The 17,591-nt window shown below is 46.8% G+C and overlaps 1 protein-coding gene and 1 long non-coding RNA gene across 14 annotated transcripts in view; one reads left to right on the top strand and one right to left on the bottom strand.

The window, feature by feature from the left end:
* The window catches only part of SPIRE1 (spire type actin nucleation factor 1), a 215,580-nt gene extending 211,793 nt beyond the window's left edge, over nucleotides 1-3,787 (top strand). For all 13 annotated transcript variants that reach the window (NR_197429.1, NM_001394323.1, NM_020148.3 and 10 more), the window contains one exon: nucleotides 403-3,787. Coding sequence is in view for 12 of the 13 variants with exons in the window: in NM_001394323.1 (NP_001381252.1) it covers nucleotides 403-661 (259 nt within the window). In the remaining variant the exon portion in view is untranslated. The remainder of the gene's footprint in view (nucleotides 1-402) is intronic.
* Nucleotides 2,501-17,525, bottom strand: LOC105371998 (uncharacterized). Its single transcript, NR_136514.1, has 6 exons — nucleotides 17,299-17,525; nucleotides 12,571-12,724; nucleotides 11,675-11,895; nucleotides 11,193-11,314; nucleotides 6,724-6,906; nucleotides 2,501-2,755 (listed from the first exon to the last, which is right to left on the bottom strand). It is a non-coding gene; the product is annotated as an uncharacterized LOC105371998 (long non-coding RNA).
* Nucleotides 17,526-17,591: the final 66 nt, after the last annotated feature.

Genomic DNA, 17,591 nt, shown 5'->3' with positions numbered 1-17,591 from the left:
CAACCTTCACCTCCCGGGTTCAAGCGATTCTCCCGCCTCAGCCTCCAGAGAAGTGGGGATTACAGGGGCCCACCACCATGCCTGGCTATTTTTTTTTTTTTTTTTTAGTAGAGACTGGGTTTCGCCAAACTCCTGACCTCAGGTGATCTGCCTGCCTCAGCCTCCCAAAGTGCTGGGATTACAGGCGTGAGCCACCGCACTAGGCCTCCTACTTTCTTTTCTAAGTAATATTTTTTAGCCTTGTCACCAATAAGAAATTTTTTTAGAAGGACATATGATTAAATCACTCATCCATTCCATGATGTTTTGACAACAAATTTACTTTTTTTTATACATATTTTCTTAATATTGCAGCAGACCTATAAGTAACAATGCTGGGCTTCTGTTTTGTTTTCACCCCAGGTTCTCCTCAAAATCTAAGTCTATGGACAAATCAGATGAAGAACTCCAGTTTCCCAAAGAGTTGATGGAGGACTGGAGCACCATGGAGGTGTGTGTGGACTGCAAGAAGTTCATTTCGGAAATCATCAGTTCAAGCCGGCGCAGTCTGGTGTTGGCCAACAAAAGGGCCCGATTGAAAAGGAAAACGCAGTCTTTCTACATGTCCTCGCCAGGCCCCTCGGAGTACTGCCCTTCAGAGAGGACGATCAGTGAGATCTGAGCCTCGTGCCTTTCAGCTGCTTTTGTGCTACGAGTCAGCGTCCGTGCGCGAGGACACTGAGCCGGGCTGGCTCTCCTTTCTGTGGTTTTATTTAATGGGCTTGAATTTGCATTAGATCAGATTTTTGCCGCATCACATTGTTCCACAGACTGAATGCTGTGTTCGTATCGATTGATGAAACGTGACAGGTCCGCCAATTGCTCGTTTGCACTGAGAGAGGACAACAGTTTGAAACTTACTTTTGTGTGTGTGTGGCTTTGGAAGCCAGTAGCTACTTCCTTAGTTCAGTTCTTTACTGTTCCTCGAATAATCTCCTGACTAAGGCAAAAAAAAAAAGCTTCTCCTACGAGAATCAGTCTAACAGAGATGCCGATGTCAGCACAGCCCTAAGCAGTAAGTCATATTGGCATTTCCACGTGACTGTGTTTCTATCCCGTGTACAGAGAGATCCAGAGCCCTACACTCCACGACCTGGGGGCTCACAGCACAGAACCTAGAAGCACCTGCTGACACTCTTCAACTGATTTTTAAATGTTGTTGCTTGGAGATAAAAATTACATAAGGGACTTTTTGCCTGCATTCTAGTGCAAAACATCTGAAGAGCTGTACACCCACAAGGGTGACTATTTCCCCTGAGTGGCCGTGTTGTCCCAGTGCCCTGGTTCAGTGTCTCCTGAGTGGATGACAGGTCTTCATTCTCTATCTTGAATGTATTATGGTTACTAATAGTTTTATAATGGAGGTCTAAGAATTAAAGTTGTGTGGGAGTTTCAGGACAAAGGAAGGCTAAAAGTTTGTCAAGACGTTGAGCGTATTTTGGTTACCTATGAGAAGGGTTGTGACAGTGTACAGTGGCAGCTGTTGGCCACGCTGCAGAAATGAGCTGGAGCTCATGGGTTTTCAGCTACATTTTTCATAACTTTGTAGTACATCCATCTTGAGTAAATTAAGCCACAATTTGGTACCTAGGGTCTCAAACTAAAATTTATTTTTATAAATGAATTTTAAAAGAAAAAATATCTACTTCTTTTAAAGTTAGAAGAAAATTAACCTGCTGACAGGCAACATTTTTGGGGTGCTTTCTGCACTAGTTTTCCTTGTAAATGATTTGAGTGAGTAGGTTTGGTTTCTGACGAAAGTAGACTGGAGGGTAGCATTGTATGCCTCAAATGTCTCAGTGTGTTTGGCTCATACGTGGGCTATACTGTATTATTTTGGTATGCTTACAAATGACTAACCAATCAAATTGTCATTAATGTTTGGAAAATCTGTTAATGCACATGCACAATAATTTCCTGAAAGCCATAGGACATGTCTGTAGTCAGCACCACGATAGCACCGTTTCATGAAAGGCATGGCGGCTGCATTTCATACCACATCAAAATACAGTAACATTTCTATACTAAATTAACAGTAATACCTCAAAACTGCTCCGGTAGTAGTTTTTAATGGATTGAAATTTACAGTTTAGTAAAAGGCTTAAAATTACTTATACTTATGAAATAAACTTTACCAGTTGACTAAAATAATGCATGTTAACAGTTGGTCTGTATTTGCATGTAAAAGTGGGCCACCAGAGAACCCTTATTGATTACTTAAGTGTTTACATTATTTTAAAGACTCCTGTTTAAGAGCTTTCAGAATTGTACTGGGTGAATCTCATTTATAAAACTTCCTAAGAGACTATCTGAACTCTATACTCCAGACAGTTAGGTGGGAGTATAAATCTACCCCTTTTGATGACCCCAGGCTTGAGTTTTTAAAATGACTACCCAGAAGGGCACAAGGGGGAAGGAAATGGTATTTGTATATGTATATAAATATGCACCTAGGAGAATGTGCTTTTTAAAATAATGACTACTGTTTTTATTAAAACATAAGAAACTACACCCCCAAAATAAGACTTTCATTCACATTCACAAAGCAAACATCTAGTACATGTCTTTCACTTCACTTTATGATAGTGTATTGGATGATTTGGGCATTACGATCACCTCTTACCACAGCACAGAACATACATTCTTCAACAGCATTAACGGAGTTTGCCAAGTGCATTAAAGAGGTCACGTGGAGGGTACGTTCATATGAAACAATCTGCAGAAAGTGGGGTAAGAAAGGGCACATGGCACAGTTAAAGTTGTAGAAATCAAATTACTATCATTTTTTGTTGCCAAAACAAAGTCTTACATTTAACCCCCCTTTCTACCACCCCCCTCCACACTTCACGTCAGCTACATAGTTTCCACAGGGTAATTCACTAAGAGCTTGTGGAGCTTGGTTTTAAAATCCTTAGCCTGGTCTGACTTTAGGCATAGCTTCCAGTTCTTCCTTCCGTGTCCTGGTTTCTTGTTCAGTTTTACTTCTAATCCAACAACAAAAGAAATGTCTGGCTGGTCTCAGCTAGAGTCTGATGTGTCTTAGAGCATGTGTGCGTATCTGAACCATCATCCCTGCTCTCATCTCAGCTCCCTCCAGGCCTGAGCACCGGTTCCTTTTGTCCCATACGTCATGAAGTCACACTATTGGGAAACCTGTGCTTCCCTCTCCATGGCTTAACTCCCTGTCAGTGTCGGAGTGTATAAGAATGCTTGTAAATACTGTAATATATTTATTAATATTTGAAAGGCATTCATTCAGTGGACAGTGGGAATTAACTCTCCCAAGGCAAGTGAAAATGAATGATTGACGTACGTTGATTTAACAATCTTACTAGATTTTAATTCTTAAGGATTTCAAATGAAACCAGAAGGTGGTTATGTAAGAGGCTTAAAATGATCTTATGTTTAAAGAGATTCTGTTATTAGCACCATGAACTCGTACTATGAAATTTTTAAGCCTTTTATTTTTCTAACTATATTACTGTAGGACTGGATATTAGGTGTCATATAGGAAACACAAAAGTTTATTGCTGTTTGCTAAAGCAAAATAGCAGAAAATTTTGTATATGCAAAACTGTTGAAGGACCATAGAGAAATGTGTACTACTGACGGGGCTTTTACTAGGCTTCCTGCGTGTGTAAAAGTCGAGGTATTGCTGGCATTCAGGGTGACATGATGGTACTAAATGTTTTCCATTAAAGTCTTCTATTTTAAAATTTAGAGAAAAATAAAATGGCTTTCCATCAGACTTTCTGTGTTGAGTTGCTATCGTAAGACGGTGATGTCTTTTGGTAATTAGCTGTCAGAAATCACCTCAATTGGGAAGGCAGGGTACTTTTATAAGCAGCCTGTGATCTTTGAAGAAATACAGTCTAGGCCGGGCATGGTGGTTCACGCCTGTAATCCCAGCACTTTGGGAGGCTGAGGCAGACGGATCACCTGAGGTCAGGAGTTCAAGCGATTCTCGTGCCTCAGCCTCCCAAGTACCTGGGATTACAAGTGCCCGCCACCATGCCCAGCTAATTTTTGTATTTTTGTACATGGTGGCCAACATAGTGAAACCCCATCTCTACTAAAAATACAGAAATTAGCCAGGCGTGGTGGTGTGCTCCTGTAATCCCAGCTACTGGGGAGGCAAGGCACAAGAATCGCTTGAACCCGGCAGGTGGAGATTGCAGTGAGCTGAGATTGTGCCACTGTACTCCAGCCTGGGTGACAGAGCAAGACTCCGCCTCAAAAAAAAAAAAAAAAGAAAAAGAAAAACAGTCTACAAGGACCGCACTGGAAAAATTAACATGTTGTCACAAGTGATAAGCAGCCATGAGTAGGAGAGTAAAATTACATAAAGAGTACATAACATTTTATTATGTGTCACAAATATGGAGACAAATCCTGTGGGAGATGGATGAAGCTTTCTTTCACAGCTTCCTGGAGGCGTAATTGATAAAGCAGAAAAGCCTGCACAGCTCAATAAGCAATAAGTCATATTGGCATTCCCACGTGACCATGTTTCTATCCCGTGTACAGAGACATCCAGAGCCCTACACGCCAGGACCTGGGGGCTCACCACACAGAACCTAGAAGCACCTGCTGACACTCTCCAACTGATTTTTAAATTATTGTTGCTTGGAAATTAAAAATACATAAGGGACTTTATGCCTGCATTCTAATGCAAAACATCTGAAGAGCTGTACACCCACAAGGGTGACTGTTTCCCCAGCCATGCACAGACGTGTCCCACCCCATCATGTGTGGCTTCGTGGCGCTTCACAGGTGCGCTGCATTTTTACAGTTTGTGGCAGCCCTGCAGCAGGCAAGTCAGTCGGCAGCATTTTTCCAACAGCTTGTGCGTACTTTGTGTGTCTGCATCACATTTTGGTAGCTCTCCCAACATTTCAAGCTTTTTCATTATTACTCTCTCTTTTATGGTGATCTGTGATCTTTGATGTTACTGTTGTAATTGTTTTGGGGAGCCATGACCTGTGCCCATATAAGATGGCAAACTTAATTGATAAATGTTGTGTGTGTTCTGACTGTTCCCCCGTCTCTCTTCCCCTCTCCTCAGGCTCCCCGTTCCCTGAGATACAATATTGAAATGAGGCCAAAAGCCCTACAGTACAGTGGCTTCTAAGTGTTAAGTGAAAGAAAAAGTCGAAAGTCTCTCGCTTTAAATCAAAAGCTAGAAATGATTATGCTTAGTGAAGCAGGCATTCAAAAGCTGAGATAGGCCCAAAGCTAGGCCTCTTGCACCAAACAGCCAAGCTGTGAATGCAAAGAAAAAGTTATTGAAGGAAATTACAAGTGTTACTCCATTGAACACTAATGATAAGAAAGCAAGCTGTGTGTGGTGCATGCCTGTAGTCCTAGCTCCTCAGGAGGCTGATGCAGGAGGATCGCTAGAGCCCAGGAGTTTGAGGCTGCAGTGAGCTATGATCACACCACTGGATTCTGTTCTGGGTGACAGAGAGAGACTCCATTTCTTTAAAAAAAAAAAAAGAAAGCAAAACAGCCTTATTTCCTGATATGGAGAATGTTTGAGTGGTCTGGATAAAGATCAAACCAGCCACATTTCCTTAAGCCAAACCTAATCCATAGCAAGGCCTTAACTCATTTCAATTCTTTGAAGGCTGAGAGAGGTAAGGAGGCTGCAGAAGAAAATTTGAAAGCTTGCAGAGGTTGGTTCATGAAGTTTAAGGAAAGAAGCCATCTCCATAACATAAAGTGCAAGGTAAGGCAGCAAGTGCTGATGTAGAAGCTGCAGCAAGTTCTCCAGAAGATCTAGCTATGATCTTGAAAAAGGTGGCTACACTACACTTTTGCAATGCAGATGAAACAGAAGATGCCATATAGGACTTTCATAGCTAGAGAACAGTCAATGCCTGGCTTCCAGGCTTCGAAGGCTGACGCTCTTGTTAGGGACTAATGTAGCTGGTGACCTTACATTGAAGCCAGTGCTCATTTACCATTCAGAAAATCCTAAGGCCCTTGAATCTGAAGCTAAATCTACCTATACCCTGCCAATGACTAACAAAGCCTCGGCAGATGACAGCAGATTTGTTTACAGCAAGGTTTACTGAACGTTTTAAGCCTACTGTTGAGACCTACTGCTCGGAAAAAAAGATTTCTTTCAAAATATTACTGCTCATTGACAATGCACCTGGTCACCCAAGAGGTCTGATGGAGTTGTACAAGGAGACTGTTGTTGTTTTCATGCCTGCTAACACAACATCCATTCTGTAGCCCATGGATCAAGGAGTAAGTTTTACTTTTACTTAAGAAATACACTTCATAAGGCTTTAGCTGTCACAGGCAGTGGTTCCTCTGATGGATCTGGGCAAAGCACATTGAAAACCCTCAGGAAAGGATTCACCATTCTAGATGCCATTAAAAACATTGGTGATTCATGGAAGGAGGTCAAAATGCAACATGAACAGGAGTTTGGAAGAAGTTCATTCCAAGACTTCAGTAGAGGAAGTAACTGCAGATGGGGTGGAACTAGCAAGTGAACTAGAATTAGACATGGAGCCTGAGGATGTGACTGAATTACTGCAGTCTCATGAGAAAACGTAAATTGCTGAGGCATTGGTTCTTGTGAATGAGCAATGTGGTTTTTTAAGAGGAAATCTACCAGCGAAGATGCTGTGAACATTGTTGAAGTGATCAAAGATTTACAGTAGTGCATACTTAGTTGATAAAGCAGCGGCAGGGTTTGAGAAGATTGACTCAGATTTTGAAAGTAATTCTACTGTGGGTAACATGCTGTCAAACACCACTGCATGGTACAGAGAAATTTTTCATGAAAGGAAAATGCAGTTGATGCAGCAAACTTCATTGTTTTGTAGAACGTGTCCCTCAGCAGACGTATTCCTGAAATACGAGCAGAGGAAAGTTCTTGTGTTTTTATCTTAACTAAGAATGCATGGTTTACCTTCTAAATATCTTACACATTATATAAAGTTGAGTTTTATATTAATCCATTTACATAACCTGTTCCCTCAGTTGCCAGACATTTCTTAGGAGCCCCTTCCTCTGAAGTTCCTCTGTGATATGTGTATGTCAAGATACTTGTGTGTATGTGTCCAACTCATAATCCACATGTCCAGTGACTAAGTCCAAGTCATAATCTTTGACTCGTGCTTCCTGTATTGCAGATATACAAAGAATTTGGATACCATAAGTAGGAAAAGCTTTGGGTAACACATATTTAACTTTTTTCTTACCAGCTCCAGTTGAGGAAAAGATGTACAGTTGTAAATCACAGTCTACAATTTCATAAAGAAAACTATCTTTAGGAAAGGGCTTGATTGCACACACGAGTTATTTAAAGACTCCTTGGCCAGGCATGGTGGCTCATGCTTGTAATCCCAACATTTTGGAGGCCAAGGCGAGTGGATCAGGAGTTCGAGACCAGCCTGCCCAACATGGTGAAACCCTGTCTCTACTAAAAATACAAAAAATTAGCCTGGCGTGGGGGTGGGTGCCAGTAATCCCAGTTACTCAGGAGACTGAGGCAGGAGAATCGCTTGAACCCGGGAGGCGGAAGTTGCAGTGAGCTGAGATTATGCCACTGCACTCCAGCCTGAGCAACAAGAGAGAAACCCAGTCTCAAATAAATAAAGACTCCTGATATCGCTGCAGAATGTGCAAGTGCTCGCACCAGGCACATGCACACACACATTGATTATAATGCTAATAAAAGGCGTGGTGCTTCCCTCCTATTAGCCAAAGGCATGCGAAACCTCTCCCTTTGCCCACCCAAAAAAGTTTTAAGAGCTAAGACCTTAATATAAAGCTCTAGGCCGGGCACAGTGGCTCATGCCTGTAATCCCAACACTTTGGGAGGCCGAGGTGAGAGGACTGCTTAAATCCAAGAGTTGAAGACCAGACTGGGCAACATGGCGAGACCCCCATCTCAAAAAAAAAAAAAGAAAAGGCCTCTGCCTACACGAATCAAATGTTCAGATGCAGGCCGGGCGCAGTGCCTCACGCCTGTAATCCCAGCACTCTGGAAGACTGAGGTGGGTAGATCACTTGAGGTCAGGAGTTCAAGACCAACCTGGCCAACATGAGGAAACCCCGTCTCTACTAAAAATACAAAAATTAGCTGGGCATGGTGGCGCGCACCTGTAGTCCGAGCTACTCAGAAAGCTAAGGCAGGAGAATCGCTTGAACCTGGGAGGCGGAGGTTGCTGTGAGCCGAGATTGCGCCACTGTACTCCAGCCTGGGTGGAAAAAAAAGTTCAGATGCAGTTACCTGGAAGACTGAATTTTCACCACTATTCCAGCTCATCTTGTTAACATACACATGGTGTCTAGTATGTTAGCCATTGCCGTGCAGGGCACTGCAGCTGTGCTCCCGATACTGGTGGCTGCCTCGGAGCCCGTTTGATGGAAGCAGTGACAGCAAGCGCTCCAGAACTGACAGGACAGCGCTCCGGAAATGTGGGGCATCTGGAAGTTTATGTCCTCAGGGCTTGAGAGCTGAAGAAGCATCTGCATGTTTGACACAGCTTAGTATTCAGATTTCTTTTGGCACCAAGAGGGCCAGACACTGTGGGTCCCGTGCTGGGAATGGTCACAGCTGCTGCAATGAGGCAGGTTGTCTGTGAATCGAGGGCATGCGGCTCACTTGAAGCTTGCCCGTCTTGTATACATTCTTCTTTGCTTTGGGGCTGCCTTCTGACTGCAGCAATCGTCTATCTGTTGTCCCTGATCTGCCTCCATCCCTAACCCCCTTCCCTAGGGTGACAGCAGAAAGCTTCACATCCCAATTCCTCCCAGCAGCAAGAGTTTTTAGGAGAGTAGAAAGCCAAAGATGAGGATTTCTGCAGCTCTAACCTGAACCTCAGGCTCGTGAGCAGACATTGTGTGGAGCCTCTAGGGAATAGCGTGGCCGAGGAGGGAGCGAGCCCACGTCTGCACAGGAGAGCCTAACGAGCAATGCAGCTTCTACAGAAAAGTCACTCCTTTTTTTTTTTTTTTTTTTTTTTTTGAGATGGAGTTTCGCTTTTGTTGCCCAGGCTGGAGTGCAATGGCGCGATCTCGGCTCACTGCAACTTCCGCCTCCCCACGCTCCCCACCCCCCTCCCTCCAGTTCAAGTGATTCTCCTGCCTCAGCCTCCCGAGTAGTTGGGGACTACAGGCGCCTGCCACCACGCCCGGCTAATTTTGTATAAAGACACGGGGTTTCTCCATGTTGGTCAGGCTGGTCTCAAACTCCTGACCTCAGGTGATCCGCCCACCTCAGCCTCCCAAAGTGCTGGGATTACAGGCGTGAGCCACCATGCCCACCCAGTCACTTCTTTTTCTAAGAGAGAGGGTCTCACTCTCAGCCAGGCTGGAGTGCAGTGGTTCAGTGGTGCAAAGCTGCTCACTGAAGTCTTGAGCTCCTGGGCTCAAGCGATCCTCCCTCATCAGCCTCCTAAGTAGCTGGGACTACAGGTGCATGCCACCATGCCTGGCTAACTTTAAAAAAAAAAAAATGTAGCGACAGGGGTCTCCCTATATTGCCCAGGCTGGTCTGGAACTCCTGAGCTCGAGCGATCTGCCCACTTCGGCCGCCCAAAGTGCTGGAATTACAGGTGTGAGCCACCATGCCTGGCCACTTTCTGTGTGTGCTTTTGTTTGTTTGTTTGTTTGTTTTTGTTTTTTGAGATGGAGTCTCACTCTGTCACCCAGGCTGGAGTGCAGTGGCACGATCTGGGTTCACTGCACCTTCCGCCTCCCGGGTTCAAGCAATTCTCCCGCTTCAGCCTTCTGAGTGACTGGGACTACAGGCACACACCACCAATGCCCAGCTAATTTTTGTATTTTTACTAGAGATGGGGTTTTGCCATATTGCCCAGGCTGGTCTTGAACTCCTGAGCTCAAGTGATCTGCCCGCCTCGGCCTCCCAAAATGCTGGGATTACAGGCATGAGGTACCGTGCCAGGCCTTAAAGTGATAAAACTTTCATCTTAAATATCTCAAAGGGAAAAGAAGCCTAAGAATTCAGCTTGCCCACCAAGGGGAACATGACTCGAGAGAAGAAGCCACTAGGGGGGCATCCACCACAATCTCAAGGTTGCTGCAGAAGGCAGATGCACAGAATATCGGCTTGGACCAGGGGCTCTGGGTGTGACTGGTTGGACACTGCTCCAGGTGCAGCAGCTGCAGTGAGGGACGCCTCTCTACTCCAAAGTAATACTCAACTAGCAAAACGGCTTTTTCAAGACCCAGAACCTTTTGTCCTGATGACTGAAAAAAACTAGTCTGTAATTAGCAAAGTAGATTATTTCTCGGCAACACCTAGTTTTCAAGTATCTGGAATGGTTCTAACTAAACTGTGCTCCAGCATGGCAAAACTGTGCTCCACCGTGGCAACAAAACAGCTACCTAACACTGGGACAGCTCCTGAGCTTTTATGAATTTGTCTCTTCGAGTTTAAAGCAAGAGTGTGCCAGGCGCAGTGGCTCACGCCTGTAATCCCAGCACTTTGGGAGGACGAGGAGGGCAGATCACCTGAGGTCGGGAGTTCGAGACCAGCCTGACAAACACAGAGAAACCCTGTCTCTACTAAAAATACAAAATTAGCCAGGCGTGGTGGCGCATGCCTGTAATCCCAGCTACTGGGGAGACTGAGGCAGGAGAATCGCTTGAACCTGGGAGGCGGAGGTTGTGGTGAGCTGAGATCGTACCATTGCACTCTAGCCTAGGCAACAAGAGCGAAACCCCGTCTCAGAAAAAATAAATAAATGAAATAAAGCAAGTGTGTTAGACTAGGTGTTCTCCAAGGTCACTTTCAACTAGGAGAGAGATTCAGGATACTGTGTGAACAACCAGTACTACACAGGCATCAACAAGTAAAGACACTTGAAGCCTGAGCCAGTGTGACTTGAGAAACAGCGTGTAATCCAAGCCAGCCCTTCACTAAAGTGAAGTGTGAAATGACTGATACTTTCTAAGCATTATTTCTGTGTTGATGACAAACCTGATTATGAATATTACATGAAAGTAAGGAAAGTGCAAAATGTGCTGCACTTATTCGAAACTGGAGGCAAAGGCAAATTCAGTTTTACTAGTTGCTACAAAGAACCTGGCTCCATCTCTCAAAATTAAAAAGAAAAACCTCAGAAAGATGAGTTGACTTTTTAAAAAGGGACACAGCCCCTTACATCAGCCGTTGGGTGTTAGTACCAGTGGCTCATCTCTGGATCCTGTTGGAGAGAAAGACCTTATCTGCCTTGGCCATAGCAGACACCTGGTGTTTTTGTTCCCACAGCGTAGTGTGCGCTTCCTATTGGAAACGTAAAGAGAAGCCGGTGACTGTCAGGTGCGCGCACACAGCAGGCTCTTCTCCTCCACTTGGCGTGTGTGGCAACCCTAGTTGCGCTAAAAGGAAACACAAGTAAAGACAACTCTTGTTCTCCAGCTTGGTCAAGGATAGCGAGCACCGCTGCAGGTAGTCCCTGAGATATGCACCTCTCATGTATACTAATGAGATCCTGGCAGGGAGACTTCACGCTCTGGCCCTCAGTGCCAAAGTCTCCATCGCTGCCTGAACTCCTCACTAAATTTGATCTCTATGGCCAGCTTTTATTTAGAGCTGATAAGACACATGGCCACCCTTCGGCAGGAATCACCCACAACCTCTCACCTGACAGGCCGTCTCAGCTCTCTTTAAATGTGTCTAGGACAAAGCAGAGCTGATTCTCTGTGAAGTTCCATCTTTGAATAGGTCAAAGAGTTGGGAGTTGTGCCGTCGTGTCACTTCTTCCCATTGCTGACTCGCTGGTGCTGCCCACGGGGTTCTGCAGAGCACGCCTGCTCCCCCTGCCAAGTGGCTCCCTCACGTCGCCTCTTCCTTCCCACTCCTCCCTGCAACACGTCCCACTGCTTATGGCTTCTGCATTGTATTTTTTCCATTGTACCACCTAACATTCTACTACATTGTTCCATGAACACAGGCATCTTTGTCAGATTGCTTCACTTGCTGTATCCCCAGCTTCTGAAAATAATTCCTGGCATGTAACAGGTGCCTAATAACCGTGGAGGGAATTACTGACTGAATGAGCAGGTTAATACGGACATGAGAATAAGTGATACATACAAAGATGGAACCATCAAGATGTCTTCAACTGACATGGTGTGTCAACTGTGCAGTTCAACAGATAAATGCGACACGCAGCCCCGCGCCTTTAAGTCAGGAGTACAATTCTAAGTCAACAAATTACTGCAGCCCTAAAACAGCTCATTAGAATAGAGAAGGCCAAGTCAGCAGCTCATGCTGTGAGCATGGTTGACTTGTGCCAGTCTGGGCTTTCTACCTCCCGCTTGAAAGTGCCACTCGTCACACATTCCTCTTGGCTCTACCCACCACTAGAACCCAAGTCGGGGGACCTGCACAGCCCTGCCTCCCAACCTGGCTTTTCCCATTAACAAACTGATGTGCAGAAGAACAGGGATCCTGAAGACCTGTCATCAAAGCTGCTTTATGAATGCAAAGGGATTTATTAGTACAGAGCTTGTACTCATTAATTTTTTACTACTTGCCTCTTTTGAGTGTGGTAGTTAACTCTTAAGGGTAATCATACGGCTGGGCGTGGTGGCTCATGCCTGTAATTCCAGCACTTTGGGAGGCTGAGGCGGGCGGATCACAAGGTCAGGAGATGGAGACCATCTTGGCTAACATGGTGAAATCCCGTCTCTACTAAAAAAAAAAAAAAAAAAATTAGCCGGGCGTGGCAGTGTGTGCCTGTAGTCCCAGCTGCTGGGGAGGCTGAGGCAGGATAATGGCATAAACCTGGCAGGCGGAGCTTGCAGTGAGCTGAGATCGCACCACTGCACTCTAGCCTGGGCAACAGAGTGAGACTCCATCTCAAAAAAAAGAGTAATCATACAAGTTTTATTACTGCATGGCAAAAGAAAGAAACAGAGTGGAGAGACAGCCTGCAGAATGGAAGAAAATATTTGCAAACTACGCAACCAGCAGGGGACTAAGATCCAGAGTTTACACAGAACTCAGGGATAACAGCAAAATAGCCCAATAATAAGGTGGGCAAAGGACATAAATAGACATTTTTCAAAAGAAGACATACAAATGGCCAACAAGCATATTTTATTTTTTAATTTATTTTCTTTTTTATTGAGACAGGGTCTCACTCCCATCACCCAGGCTGGAGTGCAGTGACACAAACACGGCTCACTGCAGCCTTCACTTCCTGGGCTCAGGTGATCCTCCCACTACCACCTCCGAAGCAGCTGGGACCACAGAGGTGCACCACCACGCCCGGCTAATTTTTTGTGTTCCTAGTAGAGATGGGGTTTTGCCACCTTGACCAGGCTGGTCTCAACTCCTGGGCTCAAGCAATGTGCTCGCCTCGGCCTCCCAAGGTGCTGGGATTGCAGGCCTGAGCCGCTGCACCTGGCCCAACCAGCATATTTTAAAATGCTCAACATCGGCCAGGCACTGTGGCTCATACCTGTAATCCTTGCACTTTGGGAGGCCAAGGGGGACAGATTATGAGGTCAGGAGTTCGGGACCAGCCTGGCCAACATGGTGAAACCCCGTCTCTACTAAAAATACAAAAAATAGCTGGGCATAGTGGCAGGCGCCTGTAATCCCAGCTACTTGGGAGGCTGAGGCAGGAGAATCGTTTGAACACAGGAGGGGGAAGTTGCAGTGAGCTGAGATCACAACACTGGACTCCAGCCTGGGCGACAAGGCAAGACTCCATCTCAAAGAAATAAAAAATAAATAAAATGCTCAACATCACTATCATCAGAGAAATGCACATTAAAACCGCAATGAGATACCATCTCAAGCTAGTCAAAATTGCTATCATTGAAAAGTCAAAAAAATTATAGACATTGATAAGGATGTGGAGAAAAGGGAATGCTTATATACTGTTGGTTGGAATGCAAATTAGTACAACCTCTGTGGAAAACAGTATGGAGTTTTCTGGTTTCTTTTGTTTTAGCTTTTTTGAGATAGGGTCTAACTGTCTTGCCCAGGCTGTAGTGCAGTGGTTTGATCATGGCTCACTGCAGTCTCAAACTCCTGGATCAGGTGATCCTTCCGCATCAGCCTCCTGAGTAGCTGGGACTACAGGCACACATCAACATACAATGCAGAAGGTATAAGCAGTGGGACGTGTTGCAGGGAGGAGTGGGAAGGAAGAGGCGACGTGAGGGAGCCACTTGGCAGGGGGAGCAGGCGTGCTCTGCAGAGCCCCGTGGGCAGCACCAGCGAGTCGGCAATGGGAGGAAGTGACATGAGGGCACAACTCTCTCTCCAGCTAATTTTTGATCCAGCAATCCCACCTCTGGGTATCTACACAAAGGAAAATAATTCATAAAAATACCTGCAATTTTGTTTATTGCAGCACTATTCACAATGGCAGGGACATAATCAACCTGAATGTACATCAGTGGACGAAGGGCTAAAGAACACATAGTATATGCTCAATGGAAGACTCCGAGGGTGAGAGGGAGGTGAGGAGTGAGAAATTACCTAATGTGTAATGTACACTATTTGGGTGATGGGTACACTAAAAGCCCAGACTCCACTACGTGACAGATCCATGTATCAAAACTGCATTTGGCGGGGCGCGGTGGAATCACACCTGTAATCCCAGCACTTTGGGAGGCCAAGGCTGGGTGGATCACCTGAGGTCAGGAGTTCTAGACCAGCCTGGCCAACATGGTGAAACTCCATCTCTACTAAAAATACAAAAATTAGCCTGGCAGGGTGGCAGACACCTGTAATCCCAGCTATTTGGGAGACTGAGATAGGAGAATCGCTTGAACCTGGGAGGTAGAGGTTGCAGTGAGCCGAGATCATGCCACTGCCCTCCAGCCTGGGGGTGACAGAGTGAGACTCCGTCTCAAAACAAGACAAAACAAAAAATGCCTTTGTACCCCTTAAATTTAAACAAAAATGAGTGTTAAAGTTTGATTAACGATTTTATACCAGTTAGGCTGAAGTAAACATTAAACTTTCAAATGTGTCATATTAAGATAATTTGGCCAATAATAAAATAAGGAAAAATATGAAAATAAACTTTATGACATCATTCTATGCTTATGTTACTATTAATACATAGTTTTAGAAACTTTGCTTTTCAGTAGCTGACCACTGCCAGTTTTCCAGGGCTTACTGTACGCAAGCATCCTGCTCAGCGTCCCATTCTCTCCTCCCACACTCAACTCTCACACAGATGCTATTAACGGCCTCTTTTACAGATGCAAAACTTGGGAATAATAACGTAGTCATTTGCTTAAGGTGAAACCACTAGCCCGGCATCAAGCTGAGGCTGCAGCTGCCCTCGGGCCGCCTTCGGGCAGCTCTGACTCCAGGCCGTTCTCCAGTCACCAAAGCCCTTAGAGAAGACCCAGGATCATGAGCGCAAAAGCAGGACATCTGCCTTGGCACGGAAGAACTTTGAGCCCAGGCTGGTCAAATACATATGCGAATAGTTTAAAAAAATAGTTCAAGGCAACATAAATCTCTAGGAATTGATGGTGATGGTGGGCTGTGGCGCTGTGGGCCGGCGCCGGAGGGACAGCTCCGCAGAAGATCTGAGGTTGGGCTCAGAGGGGCCACTGCTGCCCGCCTGCATCAGTCACCCGTGCCGGTGCCTCGGCCTTGCTTTTGACCTTTTTCAGAAAGGGACGAGAACCCTCCCTAGCTTTCTAATCAAGGGACTTTATGACAGGAATATTTTTGGAGTAGTGTAAGAAGTGGGACAGCATGAGCGAGAGGCCAGACAGAAGGTGACTGTGCAGACAAGTACGAGGCGGGGCGTTCACTGCCTGCATAACAGACGACCCCGGGCTCTGCAGGAGGTGATGAGCATTTACGGGAGCAGCTCTGGCGGGGGATCCCGGCCTGGGCCTCGCACGAGGTGGCAGTGGAGATGGCAGCGGGACCCGCAGCCTCCGGGGGCTGCACCCGGGCTGGAGGATGGCGTCCGCAGTGGCCACTCTGAGGGCCCCTCCAGGGTCCTCCAAGCCTGGCGGAGTGACCATGTGCGGGCCGGCCGGGCTCGCGCCGCGCATCTCCGGACTCGGCCTCCCCTCAGCTCCCAAGCCCCGCGGCCCGGCTTCCGCAGCGGGCACGCGACACGCAGGCAAGGTCACAGAGTGGCAACGCCAGGGACGAGTACGCAGAGCAGAACGGGGCGGGGAAACCCAGAACTCAGCCTAGATGCTGGAGGAAGGTGCCATGTCCAAACAGCCCCGAGAGAAAAGGCAGGAGGAAGACGTCGGCCGGCCGGGGACCCGGGCTTTGTGTTTGGGAAATGGGAGCAGCACTTATTAGAAATGGGGAAGGACAGCCGTGTGGCGGGAGGAGCAAGCCCGTTTTCTGTCTGTTCACAGGAGATGCAGGGGCGCCTGTAAGAGAGGCTGCAGCCCCAAGCGGTGGCACACACCTGTGGTCCCAGCATTTGGGGACAAGGCTGAGGTGCAAGGATGGCTCGAGCCCAGGAGTTTGAGACCAGCCTAGGCAACATAGTGAGGCCCCGTCTCTTAAAAAAAAAAAAAAAATACTGGCCGGGCGCGGTGGCTCACGCCTGTAATCCCAGCACTTTGGGAGGCCAAGGCAGGCGGATCACGAGGTCAGGAGATGGAGACCATCCTGGCTAACACGGTGAAGCCCGGTCTCTACTGAAAAAAAAATACAAAAAATTAGCCGGGCGTGGTGGCGGGCGCCTGTAGTCCCAGCTGTCGGGAGGCTGAGGCAGGAGGATGGCGTAAACCTGGGAGGTGGAGCTTGCAGTGAGCCAAGTTGGCGCCACTGCACTTCAGCCTGGGCGACAGAGCGAGACTCCGTCTCAAAAAAGAAAAAAAAAAAAAATTAGGTGTGGTGGCACGGGCCTGTGGTCTCAGCTACTCAGGAGGCTGAGGCGGAAGGATCACCTAATACCAGGAGGCGGAAGCCGCGCGCTACTGCACTCCAGAGCCAGACTATGCCTCAAAATAAATAAACAAATAAATAAAAAAGACTGAGGCCAACAGGCAGCAAGTGCACTGCGGTTCCTGCTGGCGAAAGTCCCGGACCCTGCGCACGAGCAGCACTGGGTGCCCTCAGGGCCACGGCCTGTGGGCTTCGATGGGAGCAGTAGGCCGCCCGAGGGGGCGTTTCTTCCCAGTGGCGGGCCGGCCAGCACGGGTGCGGCGCCGCTTCCGGTGCCCCACAAACACTGCTTGGCCACTGAGGCCGAGCCCTGCGCAGTTTTCCCAAACGAGCTGCCTGCGGCCTTATCAGACCACACTCACCTCCGTGCACATGCACATTCCACGGAGAGAGCTGCATGTCTGCACCGAGTCCGCTTCTGGCCGGCGGGGCAGGGCGGCCTCTGGCTGCCGTTGGGTCGCACTGGAACCGCCTGCTCTCCTCTTCCCCTTCTCACCACTGCGCTTGACTCCTTTTCAAAACAAAGAATGAACCTATTTCCAACCAACACGGAAGTTACGAAGACAACTTTACACTAATTAAAATCAACTACTACCACTTTCTTGGTTTAAGAACTGACCACCTCAAGAAAAACTTCTTAAAATTTATATATATT

The sequence above is a fragment of the Homo sapiens genome, chromosome 18, assembly GCF_000001405.40.
Source record: "Homo sapiens chromosome 18, GRCh38.p14 Primary Assembly".
NCBI classification, from domain to species: Eukaryota; Metazoa; Chordata; class Mammalia; order Primates; family Hominidae; genus Homo; species Homo sapiens.
The sequence above is the reverse complement of the archived record's forward strand: the minus strand, read 5'-3'. Positions and strand labels throughout refer to the sequence as shown.